The following is a 15,783-nucleotide window of genomic DNA, read 5'->3' as shown; positions in this document are numbered from 1 at the left end:
ATAGCAAATTTTTAATTTTCAGATTAGATGATTGTTTTCTTAGAAAAATTAAGAAATTCTACTTTAGACCTCAGTTTCCTCATCCATGGAACTGATATAATAGTATCTGCCTTATAGAGATGTTATCAGGATTAAATGAGCTAATACACATAAAACACTTAAAACAGTGCCAGATCCATTGTAAGTTCTCCATAAATGTTAAAGATTGTTATTAAAAGAATTGAATAGGGAAACTGAATACAAAATAAAGATACAAAAATTAATAGGTTTACTTTTAGTAAACAAACTTAAATGTCACAGGGAGGAAATCCCATTTTTAATAAAAATGAAAACTATAAAATACCTAGAAATAAAATTCACAAGAAAGGCAAAAGACCTAAATAAGTAAAACTATAAAATCTTACTAAAATATGAGAAGAAGATATCTAAATGGAATGACAACTTTCTAAGATAGAATGATATATTATAAAAATGTGTATATATTTTTATATTAAATAATTATATTTTTAATTAAATTAATTTATATATTTAATTAAATTCCAACCAGAATCCCAGTTTGGGATTCTTCACACTGGATATAATAATCTTAAAGATCACTGAAAGAATATCTGAGAGGAGTACATTTTTATGGAAAGATACAAGGATGATAACTTATTATATATTACAATTAGCTCTAAATTTAATGCAATAAAAATATGGCACAGAGGGGGATAGGAGTGTATGAAAACTCTCTACTTTTTGCCCAATTTTGCTGTGGACCTAAAACTACTCTAAAATATAAAATTTATTAATTTAACATAAATAAATAACAATGCCAAAAATATAGACTTGGCCACAATATAGGCCAATAAATCAATGAAACAGAATCCAAAGTTGATTCAAGTAAATATGAGTCTTAGTATCTGACAAAGTGGGAAAGGATGATGTATTTAGTAAATCATGCTGACAGAATTGGCATGTGAAGGAAGGCAGACCAGACCCCTGCATCATACCATGCTCAAAAAATTCTAGATGAAGTAAAAATCTAAATGTAAAATATAAAATAATAGAATGAATTTTAGAAAAATATTTTTGTAAATTTAAAATTTTGTAAATTGAAAGTGGGAAGACCTTAAGCAAAAGGATCCTCCCCCAGAGCCTTTGGAAAGGACTGCCGTCCTGGTAGTACCTTGGTTTTAGGCCAGGGAGACCTGTGTTGAACTTCTAACCTGTAAAACTTAATGAATTTGCATTGCTTTAAGCCATTGAGTTTGTTGAAATTTGTTTCAGCAGCCATAGAAAACTATTAAAATGTATTAAGTATGTTAATTCCCTCATTTGAAAATCCGACTTTACCAATGTTACACAAACTTGTCCAGAGAATAAAGATAAAACACTTCCTAACTCTTCTGATGAAGCCAGAAAACCCTGATACCAAAATCGGATAAGGACATTACAAAAAAAGAAAATTATTGGCCAATCTCTGCTATGAATGTAGATACAGAAGTCCTTTACAATTTAATAGCTAACCAAATTCAGTAATACACTTAAAAAGATAATTCAACACAACCAATATGACTTTATTCCAGGAATGTAAAGTTGGTTAGTCATTAGAAAATGAGTTAATTATAATTTATCACTTTAACAGGTTAAGTAGAAATTTCATACAGTCATCTCAATAGATGCAAAGAAAGCATTTGATGAAGTTCTGTTCATCAAAAGACACAATAAAAGGAATGAAAAGGCAAGCAAAAAAGTTTATGACTAAAATAAGAGAAACCTTAAGAAACTAGGAAGAGAAGGGAACTTCCTTAATTTGATAAAGATATTCTAAAAAAATAACAAATATCATATTTAATGGGAAAATATTGAAAGCATTTCCATTGAGATCAAGAAAGAAACAAAGATTCTTGCTATGTCCACTTCTATTTATTGATGTATTTGAGATCCTAGTCATTGCAAAAATAAAAGATTTGAAAGGAAGAAATGTGTAAGCATAGTTATGTATGAGGGAAAAAAACCTAAACAATCTACAAACTTTTAGAATTAAAGTAAATTTAACAATGTTGCTGGATACAAAATCAGTTTACAAAAATCAATTTAATTTTTAATCATAAGAAACAATTTTACATAAAATTTTGTTTAATTAGAAGAAAAAGAAAATAATACCATTTATGTGACATCACAGAACCCAAATACCTAGGAATACATCTAAAGAAACACAGTTGTCTCAATAAATATGGGGAATGAGTTCCAGGAACCCCTGCATATACACAAATCCAGGCATACTCAAGTCCTGCAAGTTGGCCCTGTGGAACATGCATATGTGAAAAGTTGGCCCTCAGTATAGGCAGGTCTCACATCCTGCAAATACTGCATTTTTTATCTGCTTTTGGTTGAAAAAATATATACATATAAGTGGATCCTCAAAATTCAAACCCCTGTTTTTCAAGGGTCAACTGTGTGCAAGACCTGTACATTGAAAATGTTAAGACATCACTTGGAGAAATTAAAGATCTAAATAAATAAATATTCCATGTTCATAGGTCAGAAGACTCAATATTGTTAAGATGTCAATTCTCTCCAATGTGATCTATAAATTCAGTGCAATCTTAATTAACTTCCCAGCTGGCATTTTTACAAAAACTGACAAGCTGATTCTAAAATTTATGTGTAATTGCAAAGGGCCAAAAATAACCAAGATACTCATGAAGAAGAACAAAGAATAAACACTCATTCTACCAGATATTAAAATTTCTTGTAAGCTACAGTAATTAAGACAGTGTGATGTCGATACAAGAGGAGAGAAATAAACCAATGAAACAGAGTAGAGAGTCCATAAATAGACCCATACATACACAAAACTTGATTCATAGGAAAGGTGACATTGCAGGTAAAATGAACTCTCTTTAATAAATTCTACTGGGTCATTTATATATTCATATGGAAGAAATAAAATTCCACCCCTACTTCATATTAAATGCAAAAATGCAATCCCAGAAGAATTGTAGATCTAAATTTTAAAGTTAGAAAGTAAGAGTTCTAGAAGCTAACACAGAAAAATATCTTCATAACCTTGAGTAGACAAAGGAACATGAACCAGACAACATTTAGGATAAAAAAGAAAAAACATGATAAATAGACTACATTAAAAGTAAGAACTTCTGTTCATCAAAAGACACAATAAAAGGGATGAAAAGGCAAGCCACTAACTGGGAGAAGATATTTGCAATGTGTATGATGACAGAAGACTCATCCAGAATATGTGAAGAACCTTCACAAATCAATAAGAAAAAGACCTTATGGAAAAATAGGCCACAAACTTGAGCAAATACTTAACAAAAGAGGGCATCCAAAGCCAATACGTGTATGAAAAAGTTTCCACTTCAGTAGTCACTAGGAAAGTGTAAATTCAGTAGGTGGTTTTCCCCTGACAGTGCTAAGGAGGCTGGGAGGTCCGGACTGGGTGGAATTCACCACAGCCCAGTAAAGCTGCTGTGGCCAGACTGCTTCTCTAGATACCTCCTCACTGGGCAGGGCATCTCTGAAGGAAAGGTAACAGCCCAAGTCAGGGGCTTACAGACAAAACCCCCATCTCCCTTGGACAGAGCACCTGGGGAAAGGAGCGACTATGGGCACAGCTTCAGCAGATGTAGTCACTCCTGCCTGCTGGCTCTGAAGGGAGAACCTGATCCTGATAAGAGGGATTCTCCCAGCACAGCACACCAGCTCTGCTAAGGGACAGACTGCCTCCTCAAGTGGGTCCCTGACCCCCGTGCCTCCTGACTGAGAGAGACTTTCCTACAGGGGTCGACAAACACCTCATACAGGAGAGCTCCAGCTGGCATCAGGCTGGTTCCTCTCGGGGATGAAGCTTCCAGAGGAAGGAAAAGGCAGCAATCTTTGCTGTTCTGCAGCCTCCACTGGTGATACCCAGCTGAACAGGGTCTGGAGTGGACCTCCAGCAAACTGCAGCAGACCTACAGAAGAGGGTCCTGACTGTTAGAAGAAAAACTTACAGACAGAAAGCCCTAACATCAACATCAACAAAAAGGAACCCCATACATAGAAACTCCATCCAAAGGTCATCAGCCTCCAAGATCAAAAGTAGGTAAATCCACAAAGATGAGGAAAAACCTGCATAAAAATGCTGAAAATTCCAAAAACCAGAATGTCTCTTCTTCTCCAAATGATCGCAACTCCTGTCCAGAAGGGCACAAAACTGGATGGAGAATGAGATTGATGAACTGACAGAAGTAGGCTTCAGGTCGTGGGTAATAGAAGACTCCTTGGAGCTAAAGGAGAATGTTCTAACCCAATGCAAGGAAACTAAGAACCTTGATAAAAGGTTACAGGAACTGCTAACTAGAACAACCAGTTTAGAGAGGAACATAAATGACCTGATGGAGCTGAAAAACACAGCACGAGAACTTCGTGAAGCATACACAAGTATCAGTAGTGGAATCGATCAAGGAGAAGAAAGGATATCAGACATTGAAGATCAACTTACTGAAATAAGGTGTGAAGACAAGATTAGAGAAAAAAGAATGAAAAGGAATGAACAAAGCCTCCAAGAAATATGGGACTATGTGAAAAGACCAAACCTACAATTGATTGGTGTACCTGAAAGTGATGGGGAGAATAGAAGCAAGCTGGAAAACACACTTCAGTGTATTATCCAGGAGAACTTCCCCAACCTACCAAGACAGGCCAACATTCAAATTCAGGAAATACAGAAAACACCACTAAGATATTCTTCAAGAACAGCAACCCCAAGACACATAATTGACAGATTCTCCAAGGTTGAAATGAAGGAAAACATGTTAAGGGCAGCCAGAGAGACAGGCCAGGTTACCTACAAAGGAAAGCCCATCAGATTAACAGTGGCTCTGTCTGCAGAAACCCTACAAGCCAGAAGAGAGTAGGGGGCAATCATCATTCTCAGTAAACTATCGCAAGAACAAAAAACCAAACACCGCATATTCTCACTCATAGGTGGGAATTGAACAATGAGAACACATGGACACAGGAAGGGGAACATCACACTCTGGGGACTGTTGTGGGTTTGAGGGAGGGGGGAGGGTTAGCATTGGGGGATATACCTAATGCTAGATGACGAGTTAGTGGGTGCAGCGCACCAGCATGGCACATGTATACATATGTAACTAACCTGCACATTGTGCACATGTACCCTAAAACTTAAAGTATAATAATAATAAATAAAAATTAAAAAAATTTAAAAAAATAAAAAAATTTAAAAAAAAAGAAAAGAAAATAATTTTCAACCCAGTATTTCATATCCAGCCAAACAAAGCTTCATAAGTGAAGGAGAAATAAAATCCTTTACAGACAAGCAAATGCTGAGGGATTTTGTCACTAGCAGGCCTGCCTTACAAGAACTCCTGAAGGAAGCACTAAATATAGAAAGGAAAAACTGGTACCAGCCACTGCAAAAACATACCAAAATATAAAGACCAATAACACTATGAAGAAACTGCATCAACTAAAGTGCAAAGTAACCAGCTAGCACCATGATGACAGGATCAAATTCATACACAACAATATTAACCTTAAATGTAAATGGGCCAAATGCCCCAATTAAAAGACACAGACTGGCAAATTGGATAAAGAGTCAAGACCCATCAGTGTGCTGTATTCAGGAGACCCATCTCACATGCAATGACACACATAGGTTCAAAATAAAGGATGGAGGAATATTTACCAAGCAAATGGAAAGAAAAAAAAAAGCAGGGGTTGCAATCCTAGTCTCTGATAAAACAGACTTTAAACCAACAAAGATAAAAAAAGATAAAGAAGGGCATTACATAATGGTAAAAGGACCAATGCAACAAGACTAGCTAACTATCCTAAATATATATGTACCCAATACAGGAGCACCCAGCTTCATAAAACAAAAAGTGACTTAGACTCCCACACAATAATAGTGGGAGACTTTAACACCCCACTGTCAATATTATACAGATCAACGGGACAGAAAATTAATAAGGATATTCAGGACTTGAACTCAGCTCTGAACCAAGCAGATCTAATAGACACCTACAGAACTCTCCACCCCAAATCAATAGAATATACATTCTTCTCAGCACCACATAGCACTTATTCTAAAATCAACCACATAATTGGAAGTAAAACACTCCTCAGCAAATGCAAAAGAACAGAAATCATAACAGTCTGTCAGACCACAGTGCAATCAAATTAGAACTCCACATTAAGAAACTCACGCAAAACCACACAACTCCATGGAAATTGAAGAACCTGCTCCTGAATGACTACTGAAATAAAGAAGTTCTTTGAACCCAATGAGAACAAAGAGACAATGTATCAGAATCTCTGGAACACAGCTAAAGCAATGTTAAAAGGGAAATTTATAGAATGAAATGCCCACATCAGAAGGCTGAAAAGATCTAAAATCGACACCCTAACATCACAATTAGAATAATTAGAGAAGCAAAAGCAAACAAATTCAAAAGTAGCAGAAGGCAAGAAATAACTAAGATCAGAGCAGAACTGAAGGAGATACAAACACGAAAAACCCTTCCAAAAAAAATCAATGAATCCTGGAGCTGTTTTTTTTGAAAAGATTAACAAAATAGATAGACCACTAGCTAGACTAATAAAGAAGAAAAGAGAGAAGAATCAAATAGACACATTAAGAAATGATAAAGGGGATATCACTACTGTTCCCACAGAAATACAAACTACCATCAGAGAATACCATAAACACCTCTATGCAAATAAACTAGAAAATCTTGAAGAAATGGATAAATTCCTGGACACATAAACCATCCCAAGACTAAACCAGGAAGAAGTCAAATCCCTGAATAGACCAATAACAGGTTCTGTAATTGACGCAGTAATTAATAGCCTACCAACCAAAAGAAGCCCAGGACCAGATGGAATCACAGCCAAATTCTACCAGAGGTACAAAGAGGAGCTGGTGCCATTCCTTCTGAAACTATTCCAAACAATAGAAAAAGAGGGACTCCTCCCTAACTCATTTTATGAGGCCAGCATCATCTTGATACCAAAACCTGGCAGAGACACAATAAAAAAAGAAAATTTCAGGCCAATATCCCTGATGAACATCAGTGCGAAAATCCTCAATAAAATTCTGGCAAACTGAATCCAGCAGCACATCAAAAAGCGTATCTACCACAAGCAAGTCAGCTTCATCCCTGGGATGCAAGCCTGGTTCAACATATGAAAATCAATAAACGTAATTCATCACATAAACAGAACCAATGACAAAAACCACATGATTAACTCAATAGATGCAGAAAAGGCCTTTGATAAAATTCAACATCCCTTTATGCTAAAAACTCTCAATAAACTAGGTATTGATGGAACATATCTCAAAATAATAAGAGCTATTAATGACAAACCCATAGCCAATATCATACTGAATGGGCAAAAGCTAGAAGCATTCCCTTTGAAAACCGGCACAAGATAAGGATGCCCTCTCTCACCACTCCTATTCAACACAGTACTGGAATTTCTGGCCAAGGCAATCAGGCAAGAGAAAGAAATAAAGGATATTCAAGTAGGAAGAGAAGAAGTCAAATTGACTGTTTGCAGATGACATGACTGTATACTTAGAAAACCTTATCATCTCAGTCTGAAACTCCTTAAGCTGATAAGCAACTTTAGCAAAGTCTCAGGATACAAAATCAGTGTGTGAAAATCACAAGCATTCCTATACACCAACAATAGACAAGCAGAGAGCCAAATAATGAGTGAACTCCCAATCGCAATTGCTACAAAGAAAATAAAATACCTAGGAATACAACTTATAAGGGATGTGAAGGACCTCTTCAAGGAGAACTACAAGCCACTGCTCAAGGAAAGAAGAGAGGACACAAACAAATGGAAAAACATTCCATGCTCATGGACAGGAATAATCAATATCATGAAAATGGCCATACTGCCCAAAGTAATTTACGGTCTCAATGCTATTCCCATTAAGCTACCATTCACTTTCTTCACAGAACTAGAAAAAACTACTTTAAATTTCATATGGAACCAAAAAAGAGTCCATATAGCCAAGACAATTCTAAGCAAAAAGAACAAAGCTGGAGGCATCACACTACCTCACTTCAAAGTATACTACAAGGCTACAGTAATCAAAACAGCATGGTACTGATACCAAAACAGATATATAAACCAATGGAACAGAACAGAGGCCTCAGAAATAACACCACACAACTACAACCATCTGATCTTCGACAAACCTGACAAAAACAAGCAATGGGGAAACAATTCCTCATTTAATAGATGGTGCTGGGAAAACTGGCTAGCCATCTGCAGAAAACTGAAACTAGACCCCTTACTTACACCTTATACAAAAATTAACTCAAGAGGGATTAAAGACTTAAATGTCAAACCCAAAACCATAAAAACCCTAGAAGAAAACCTAGGCAATACCATTCAGGACATAGGTGTGGGCAAAGACTTCATGACTAAAACACTAAAAGCAATGGCAACAAAAGCTAAAATTGACAAACGGGATCTAATTAAACTAAAGAGCTTCTGCACGGCAAAAGAAACTATCATTAGAGTGAACAGGCAACCTACAGAATGGGAGAAATTTTTTGCAATCTATCCATCTGACAAAGGGCTAACATCCAGAAACTACAAGGAACTTAAACAAATTTACAAGAAAAAAGCAAACAACCCCATCAAAAGTGGGTGAAGGATATGAACAGATACTTCTCAAAAGAAGACGTTTATGTGGCCAAAAAACATGAAAAAAAGCTCATCATCACTGGTCATTAGAGAAATGCAAATCAAAACCAAAATGAGATACCATCTCACACCAGTTAGAATGGTGATCATTAAAAAGTCTGGAAATATCAGATGCTTGCAAGGATATGGAGAAATAGGTACGCTTTTACATTGTTGGTAGGAGTGTAAATTAGTTCAACCACTGTGGAAGAGAGTGTGGCGATTCCTCAAGGATCTAGAACAAAATACCATTTGACCCACCAATCCCACTACTGAGTACATACCCAAAGGATTATAAATCACTCTACTATACAGACACATGCACACATATGTTTATTGTGGCACTATTTGCAGTAGCAAACACTTGGAACCAGCCCAATGCCCACCAATGATAAACTAGGTAAAGAAAAATGTGGCACATATACACAATGGAATACTACGCAGTCATAAAAAGAATGAGTTCATATACTTTGCAGGGACATGGATGAAGCTGGAAGCCATTATTCTCAGCAAACTAATACAAGAACAGAAAACCAAACACCACATGTTCTCACTTGTAAGTGGGAGTTGAACAATGAGAAGGCATAGGGAGGGGGACATCACACATGGGGGCCTGTCAGTATTTGGGAGGCCAGGGGAGGGAGAGCATTTAGGACAAATACCTAATGCATGCGGGGCTTAAAACTTAGATGATGGGTTGATGGGTGCAGCAAACTACCAGGGCAATGTATACCTATGTAACAAACCTGCATGTTCTGCACATGTATCCCAGAATTTAAAGTAAAATTTTTTAAAAGTGCAAATTAAAGCCACAAATTAAAGTCAAATTTATACCCACCAGAATGACTAATTTTAAGTAGTCTGACAATACTAAGTGCTGAGAAGAATGTGATCAAACAATCTTGGAGAGGGAGAGTGTAGGCAAATGTTCACAGCAGCATTATTCAAAAAATAAAAAACCAGAAACAATTTAGATATCAAGAGCAGAATAAAAAGTTGAGTTGCATATTCATTCAAAGGAAACTATACATAAATGAAAAATCACAAATTGCTGCTACACACAACAATATGAATGAACATCACCAAAATTATGCTGAGCAAAGAACCCCCAAAACAGTACTTTCCATCTGCTTCCATTTACGTAGAGTTCAAAGTCACATAAGATTAATGTGTGGTTTTAGAAGTCAGGAGAGCCGTTCCCTCTGGAGAAGAGGAAGAAGCATCGCTGGGAGAGGCACGAGGGGAGCTGCTGGGGTACTGGTAATATTTATTGTTCTGGATGATGATTAAATAAAATATATTCACATTGTGAAAATTCTTTGAGCTATAGTCATGACTTGTGCACATTTCTGTATGTATATCCTACTGCAATAAACTTTATAAAAGGAAAAATAAATAATTGACAAATTTTTGAAATACAAGTTATAATGAGATTAAAAATAATATAACGCATAGGGAAGAATTATGTCTCACTAAATAAATACCCTATTATCAGACAGGGTTTACTAAACTTCCATCCTCCCTACAGAGCTGTTCCAGAACTTACTTTTAGCTTCCACTTGACTGCTGTTGTTTCTCAACTGCTATCAGATTGTATAGTCCAAGGGCTGTGGAATGCTGGCACCTAGGTTGCTTGTGAGAAGAGACACTGTGGCTTGTGTGGGATGCAGTGCCACTGGTGGCCAGGACTGGCAGGTCGTCTGCTTATGAAGTGCCTGAGGCCCCGCTTTTGGAGAGGCACTGACTTGTGGAGTTCTGCAGCATAATGGCAAATACTGGGGCCCCACCAAGAAGCCATGTGGTCCCTTCCCACTATTCATCCCATCTGCCCTATTACTTGCTGCTCAGCCTCTAGAGAAAGGGTATTCTATGACAAGGACTCACAGAATTAGGGCTACTATGACAAAATACCAAAGACTGAGTGGCTTAACTAACAGAAATTATTTTCTCATAGTTCTGGAGCCTAGAACTCCCACATCAAGGTGTCAGCACATTTGATTTCTCTCTCCTTGGCTTGCCTTCTCGCTGTGTCCTCACAAGGTTGTCCCTCTGTCTGTCTGTGTCCTAATCTCCTCTTCTTATAAGGATAGCAGTCATAGTGGATTAGGGCCCACACTGACGGCACTGTTTTAATTTTATTACCTTTTTAAAGACCCTGTCTCAAAACCCAGGCACATTCTGGGTACTAAGGGCTAGGGCTTCAACACACAAGTTTTGGGACACACAATTCAGTCCATAAAAGAGTCTGTCTAGTTCTTACCAAGCTCTGTGACTGGGCTGAATCCTGTAGCTTCTCGGGTCCTGAGTTTCTTCCCAACTTGAAAATGAGGTTTGTGGCTCTTGCTCCCAATGCTGATGTTACACAGCTTACTTTCCATCTTCCTTGTGAACATCTCCTTGGGTTCCAGTACAGCTAGATATAAGTAACAATGGCAGAAATGCAAGTACGGTGTCATTACATTTAATGTTTTCCAACCCTGTATGCATGTAGTGGGGAGAAAAAAAGAAGTGAGAATGTCCAGAGTTGAAAGCAGTCTGAGACTTCATAGGCCACGTGAAGGTTGGCTGTAGAACTTAAGATGGGAGAGAAGCAGGGTTGGGGGAGAACAAAAGTAGGGGAGAAGGAGAATTGATATATATTTGGGGATTGGTCTGTACCAGAAACTGTAATCTCACTGAAGCTTCACAACAACCTCACGAGGTGGGTATTATTATTATTAATAATAATAATTAATAATAATAATAATAATTATTATTATTATTAATAATAATAATTATTATTATTCCCATTTTACTGGTGAGGACACTGAGGCTCAGAATGCAGAGCTGGGCTTTGCTATTTCAGTCTACCTAGAACTCAGAGGAACCTACGCAAGTCAGCTCTGCCGACAGCGTTGGTTGAACATGCTTTGGCACCTCTTGCCTTCCTCCCCGCAGCATTGCCCTGTCACAGGTGACAAGAGGAAGACAAGGTTCCTGTCTGTTTTGTTTGGTAGTTCTAAAAAAATGACATGACCAATTCTGTTGTTGTTGCTGGTTCAGTTTTAGTGAATAGGTAATGTTCACTGAAAATATATCAATAGATATTAACAAGCAAACAAATAAAATTCTGGCACAAGCAAAACTAAGCCACAGTGACAGAAAGCAGATCAATAGTTGCCTGTGGGAAGAGCGGATGAGTATAAAGGGGCCTGAGAGGACTTCTGGGGGAGATGAAAATGTTCTATGTCTTGACTGAGGTTGTTGCTCTACATGTATGTACTTGTATAAAAACTCTTCAAACTATACACTTAAAACAGGTGAGTTTTTAGTAGTAGTAGTGATGTTTGGATACCTGTAACTTTATCTCCATTAGAAATGTCAGATATTTTAATATCATCAGTTAGTTTTTGCAGGTATCTTGAAATATTATTCATGTTCCTCACTACTGGGATAGTTTTGCAGATTCATGTTCCTCACTACTGAGATAGTCATTTAGCCTGTGCACTAGACCTTGCTTTTGATGCCTTCATAAAGCATAGATCAGAAAAAAGGTGAGTTGTTGTATGTAAATTACACCTCAATAAAGTTGATTGATACAAAGAGAAACAAAATCACCAGAAATCCCACCACCAAGAGATAACCACTACCATTTTGGGGTTTTTATGCTGCCAGGGCATTCATCCCCACCCCGCCACCCCCGCACATGCTGTGTTACACTGTGTTCTGGGGTTTTTTTTCTCTCTGTCTACGATATATTATAAAAACCTTTCCACACCAGTACACAGAATGCTGCATCTGTATTTTTACAGTGGTAGAATACAGCATTATGTCAACAAAACATGTTTACTTCACCAATTTGTTGTGTTGGAAAATTAAGATGTTTCCAATTTTTCACTCTTAAAAACACTACCATGAATATCCTTGTAACTAAATATTTGAGCATATCCTTAATGATTGCCATAGAATAAATTTCTTCCAGTAAAATTACTGGGTCACAGGCATTCACGTTTTTAAGGAATTTGATGTATCTTTCAAAATTGCCCTACCTAAAAACTCTATCAATTTAGGTGCCCATTAGCCATCTCTTTGTCTCTACTGTAGACTCTCAATGTGTAGACTCAGCATTGTGACTCTCCACGGGAGCAGACACAAGGTAAGTCCCAGTAACTGACATATCCTGAGATCCCACAACTTTAGAAGCTATTGAAACCTTTCAAAGTCAGTCCCAGCCCTAACTTTAAATGAAATTCAAGACCCATAAAGGTTCAGGGGTCTGAAAGCACTCCTACTGCTCCTACTGAGCACATCCAGGATTCTGACTCCGGACTCAGGCCAGAAACCACCACACAGCTTGCTAACGGAACACTGAGTCAAAGGACCAGCAAAGACCTCCTGCCATCTCAGGCTTAGAGATTCCCTAGTCTCTACACCCCCTTAATCTGTTTGAACCAAGCCTTGCTCCAGAGCAGCCGGGCAAAGGAGCCAGGGATCTCAGGAGTCACACACACTGTTGACGTCTCAGCACAACTCCGGTTGGTTGCATTTTATTTCAATCCTTGGCTCTGCTGCACGTGGCCTTGGGATGGTTATTTAACCTAAGGCTCAATTTCCTCAACAAAAAAATGGAGTTGGTAATTGTACCTAGCTCACAGAGTTTTAGTAGGATGGCATGAGGTAATACAATCAAATTCACTAGCACCACTCCTGGCCCTTAAAAGGTGCTGCTATTTGGTAAGTATTATTATCATTTGTTGGCCCCTCACACTTAGCCTCAGGCAGCAGAGAGGCCTGAAAGAGAACAACTTCCTGCCCTTACATTCTGACTTTTCTGCACTGGTGTCGCTACAGAAGGCCAGCCACCAGGCTCATTTTAGATCTGCCTAATGCCACCGATAAGCTGAGGGCTTGAAACCCCATTCTTAGGAGTGGCTTGCCCACCCCGCATGCCTCTAGGACCAAGCCTGACAAATATAGCAGAAATTACAGGCATCTGATTTAAGGCTACGTGTGTACACTTCGCCTGAGCCAAGCCCCAAGCCCTAGTCCCGCTGCTGCATCAAAGGACCAGCTCTCTTCCAGCCTCCAGGCCCAGAGTAAGCAGCAATTTGGGAGGCAGCCCCCTCTTATTTTTAGCTTTAGAAACCCGAAAAGCCAACATACCAGAGCTCACCCAAGCGTCTCTCACAAACTGTTGTTTGACTTGGGTTGAGAAAATGACAGGCTGGGTTCTGCACCAAGAAGAGAAGAAAAAAAGAGGGGGAAAAAAGGAGTTTTCTTTTCCCTCCGCTGCCAATCTCCATCCCCCTCAACTCCTCCCCTAGGCCTGGGTGGACCCTGCCTGGGTAATAGTTCCCTGCTATATTTAAAAACCACAGATGTGTTTGGTGGAGACTTAATTTCGGAATTGCAGGCAGCGTCTCCTGAGGACAAGGGGAAAGCCGGTGCCGCGCGCCCGCCTGCTGCCTGGAGCTCCCAACTCGGCGGAATCCAGGTCAGGACGCGCCGCCGTTTTGACGTGCTGCCGGCCGGGAGGCGCGGGCGCCAGGCTCCAACGACTAGGGTGGGTGGCCGCGGGGCAGGGGTTGGATCTGAATTCGTCCCTCGGGGGCTCTGGATGCGGGATGCGGGATGCGGGATGCGGGCTCGACTTCCTCGCTGCTGGTCGAGGAGCGTTCTGAGAGTCTCCCCTCCGCGCGCGAGGATAAATATGCGCGGCTTGTCAGTCAGTGCGGCGCTGTCTCCCAGCTGATAGGGTGACGTTCCGTTTGGAGGCTTGGAGATTGGCTTTTTGATTTGGCTTCTTCCGGCAGCTTAATGGGCAAAGCTCTCCGCTCGCCCAGAAACCAGCCTCTCCGCGCGTCCCCTCTGCGCGCGGCGAGGCCGAGACGTCTCCCGCGGTGACAGCGTGCAAGGCGGAGACCCGGCGCGCTCCCAGCCCAGGGAAAGCCCAGGCGACGCGACCGCAAGCCCGAGCCCAGGTCCCTCGGAGCCGCCAGGGCGCGCCGGGCTGCTTGCCTTCCTGCCCCTTCCTGCAGGAATCCCCCGCCGCCCGCGGCCGGGACTCCGGGCCTCTCCCGGGCGTAGATTCCAGTCACCGCTCTGGGTCGGGGTTTCCCTCTTTCTGAAATCCGTGCGGAAGGACCCCTCCCGGGGCCCCTCGCCCTGGCCCCAGACACCCTCCCTCCCAGACCCCGCGCTCCAGATGCGCTGCCCCGCAGCTCCCTGACAGCTGCGAGCCCACGAACCCCGGCGGGAGGGCGGCGGCGGCGGACTGACATGCCCCGGACGCGGCTGCGGCCGGCGGGCAGCCCGCGGGGGCGATGAGCCGCTGCGACCGGTGAGGCGCCGGGCGGCGGGGGCATCGCGTACCTTCCTCACCCCCCTCCCTTGCCCACTCCGCTCGGGAGGCCGAGAGGAAACGGTGAGTAATGGGGTGAGCCTCCTGCCCTTCCCCCTTAGCGGGCAGCCGAGACATGGGAGGTAGAGGTTGGGGGGCTTGGGATGCCCCTAAGAGGATCCCTGATTGTGAGTAACGGGGTTAAGTTATTTCTCAAGATCATTCATATGAACCGCCTTCCTGTGGATTTAGTGCCAGGAGAAGTGGGGTGAGGGTGCCCCGGAAAGTGTACATTGTGTATGCAGTGTTGGGGGGGCAGATCTGGCAGAGTGGGTGTCTACAGGAGGGTGCCGCCGGGTGGGGAGGGGCAGAGAGAGATGCCTGGGCAGGTGGGTACAGTTGGATCGTGAGCATGCTGGGTTGGTAGCGGGTGCTGTTTGGGGAGACTGACTGCTGTGTTGTGTGTGCTGGATGCATGTCGGCATATGTGTGCCACCTGGGCCAGGGCGTGTTGTGCTTCTGGTGCTGTGAGTGTCCGCCGGGTTTGGGGGCTAGCAGGGAAGCGCGTTATCCACTCGGCGCGCGCCCGCGTGCACATACGCACGCACGCGCTCACCCCAATCTCGGGACTCCACCGCCGCGGGTCGGGAGCTGCAGCCCCAGAGCACCCACCGCTGGGGCCAAGGGGGCGAGGGAGAAGGAGGGTTTCTCCAGTGCTGCACTCTCCAGCCCCTGGTGGTCTG

At 41.2% G+C, this 15,783-nt stretch overlaps 1 protein-coding gene and 1 pseudogene across 12 annotated transcripts in view, besides 2 other annotated features; one reads left to right on the top strand and one right to left on the bottom strand.

Annotated features, from left to right (window-relative positions):
* The window catches only part of LOC646548 (ADAM metallopeptidase domain 20 pseudogene), a 45,476-nt pseudogene that overhangs the window by 29,081 nt on the left and 612 nt on the right, over positions 1-15,783 (bottom strand). Inside the window, exon 2 of the transcript NR_135825.1 lies at positions 10,982-11,134. The product of NR_135825.1 is annotated as an ADAM metallopeptidase domain 20 pseudogene (transcript). The remainder of the gene's footprint in view (positions 1-10,981; positions 11,135-15,783) is intronic.
* Positions 14,098-15,783, top strand: part of SLC8A3 (solute carrier family 8 member A3) — a 145,191-nt gene continuing 143,505 nt past the window's right edge. For 8 of the 11 annotated variants that reach the window (NR_104122.2, NM_001438068.1, NM_182932.3 and 5 more), the window contains exon 1: positions 14,552-15,124. The gene's annotated coding sequence lies outside the window, so the exon portion shown is untranslated. Of the gene's footprint in view, positions 14,195-14,551; positions 15,125-15,783 lie in introns of those variants that run through there. The other 3 variants (XM_047431711.1, NM_001438069.1, XM_017021606.2) reach the window with 1 other exon arrangement.
* Positions 14,578-14,907: a silencer, noted in NCBI's record as "silent region_5885". NCBI's record gives its function as "represses an Ori minimal core promoter by ATAC-STARR-seq in GM12878 lymphoblastoid cells {active_cell/tissue: GM12878}" and the evidence as "EXISTENCE:reporter gene assay evidence [ECO:0000049][PMID:35858748]".
* Positions 14,978-15,117: a silencer, noted in NCBI's record as "silent region_5884". NCBI's record gives its function as "represses an Ori minimal core promoter by ATAC-STARR-seq in GM12878 lymphoblastoid cells {active_cell/tissue: GM12878}" and the evidence as "EXISTENCE:reporter gene assay evidence [ECO:0000049][PMID:35858748]".

This window comes from Homo sapiens, chromosome 14 (assembly GCF_000001405.40).
Source record: "Homo sapiens chromosome 14, GRCh38.p14 Primary Assembly".
Taxonomy (NCBI): Eukaryota; Metazoa; Chordata; class Mammalia; order Primates; family Hominidae; genus Homo; species Homo sapiens.
Note: the sequence above shows the minus strand (reverse complement) of the source record. Positions and strands in the feature narration are given on the sequence as shown.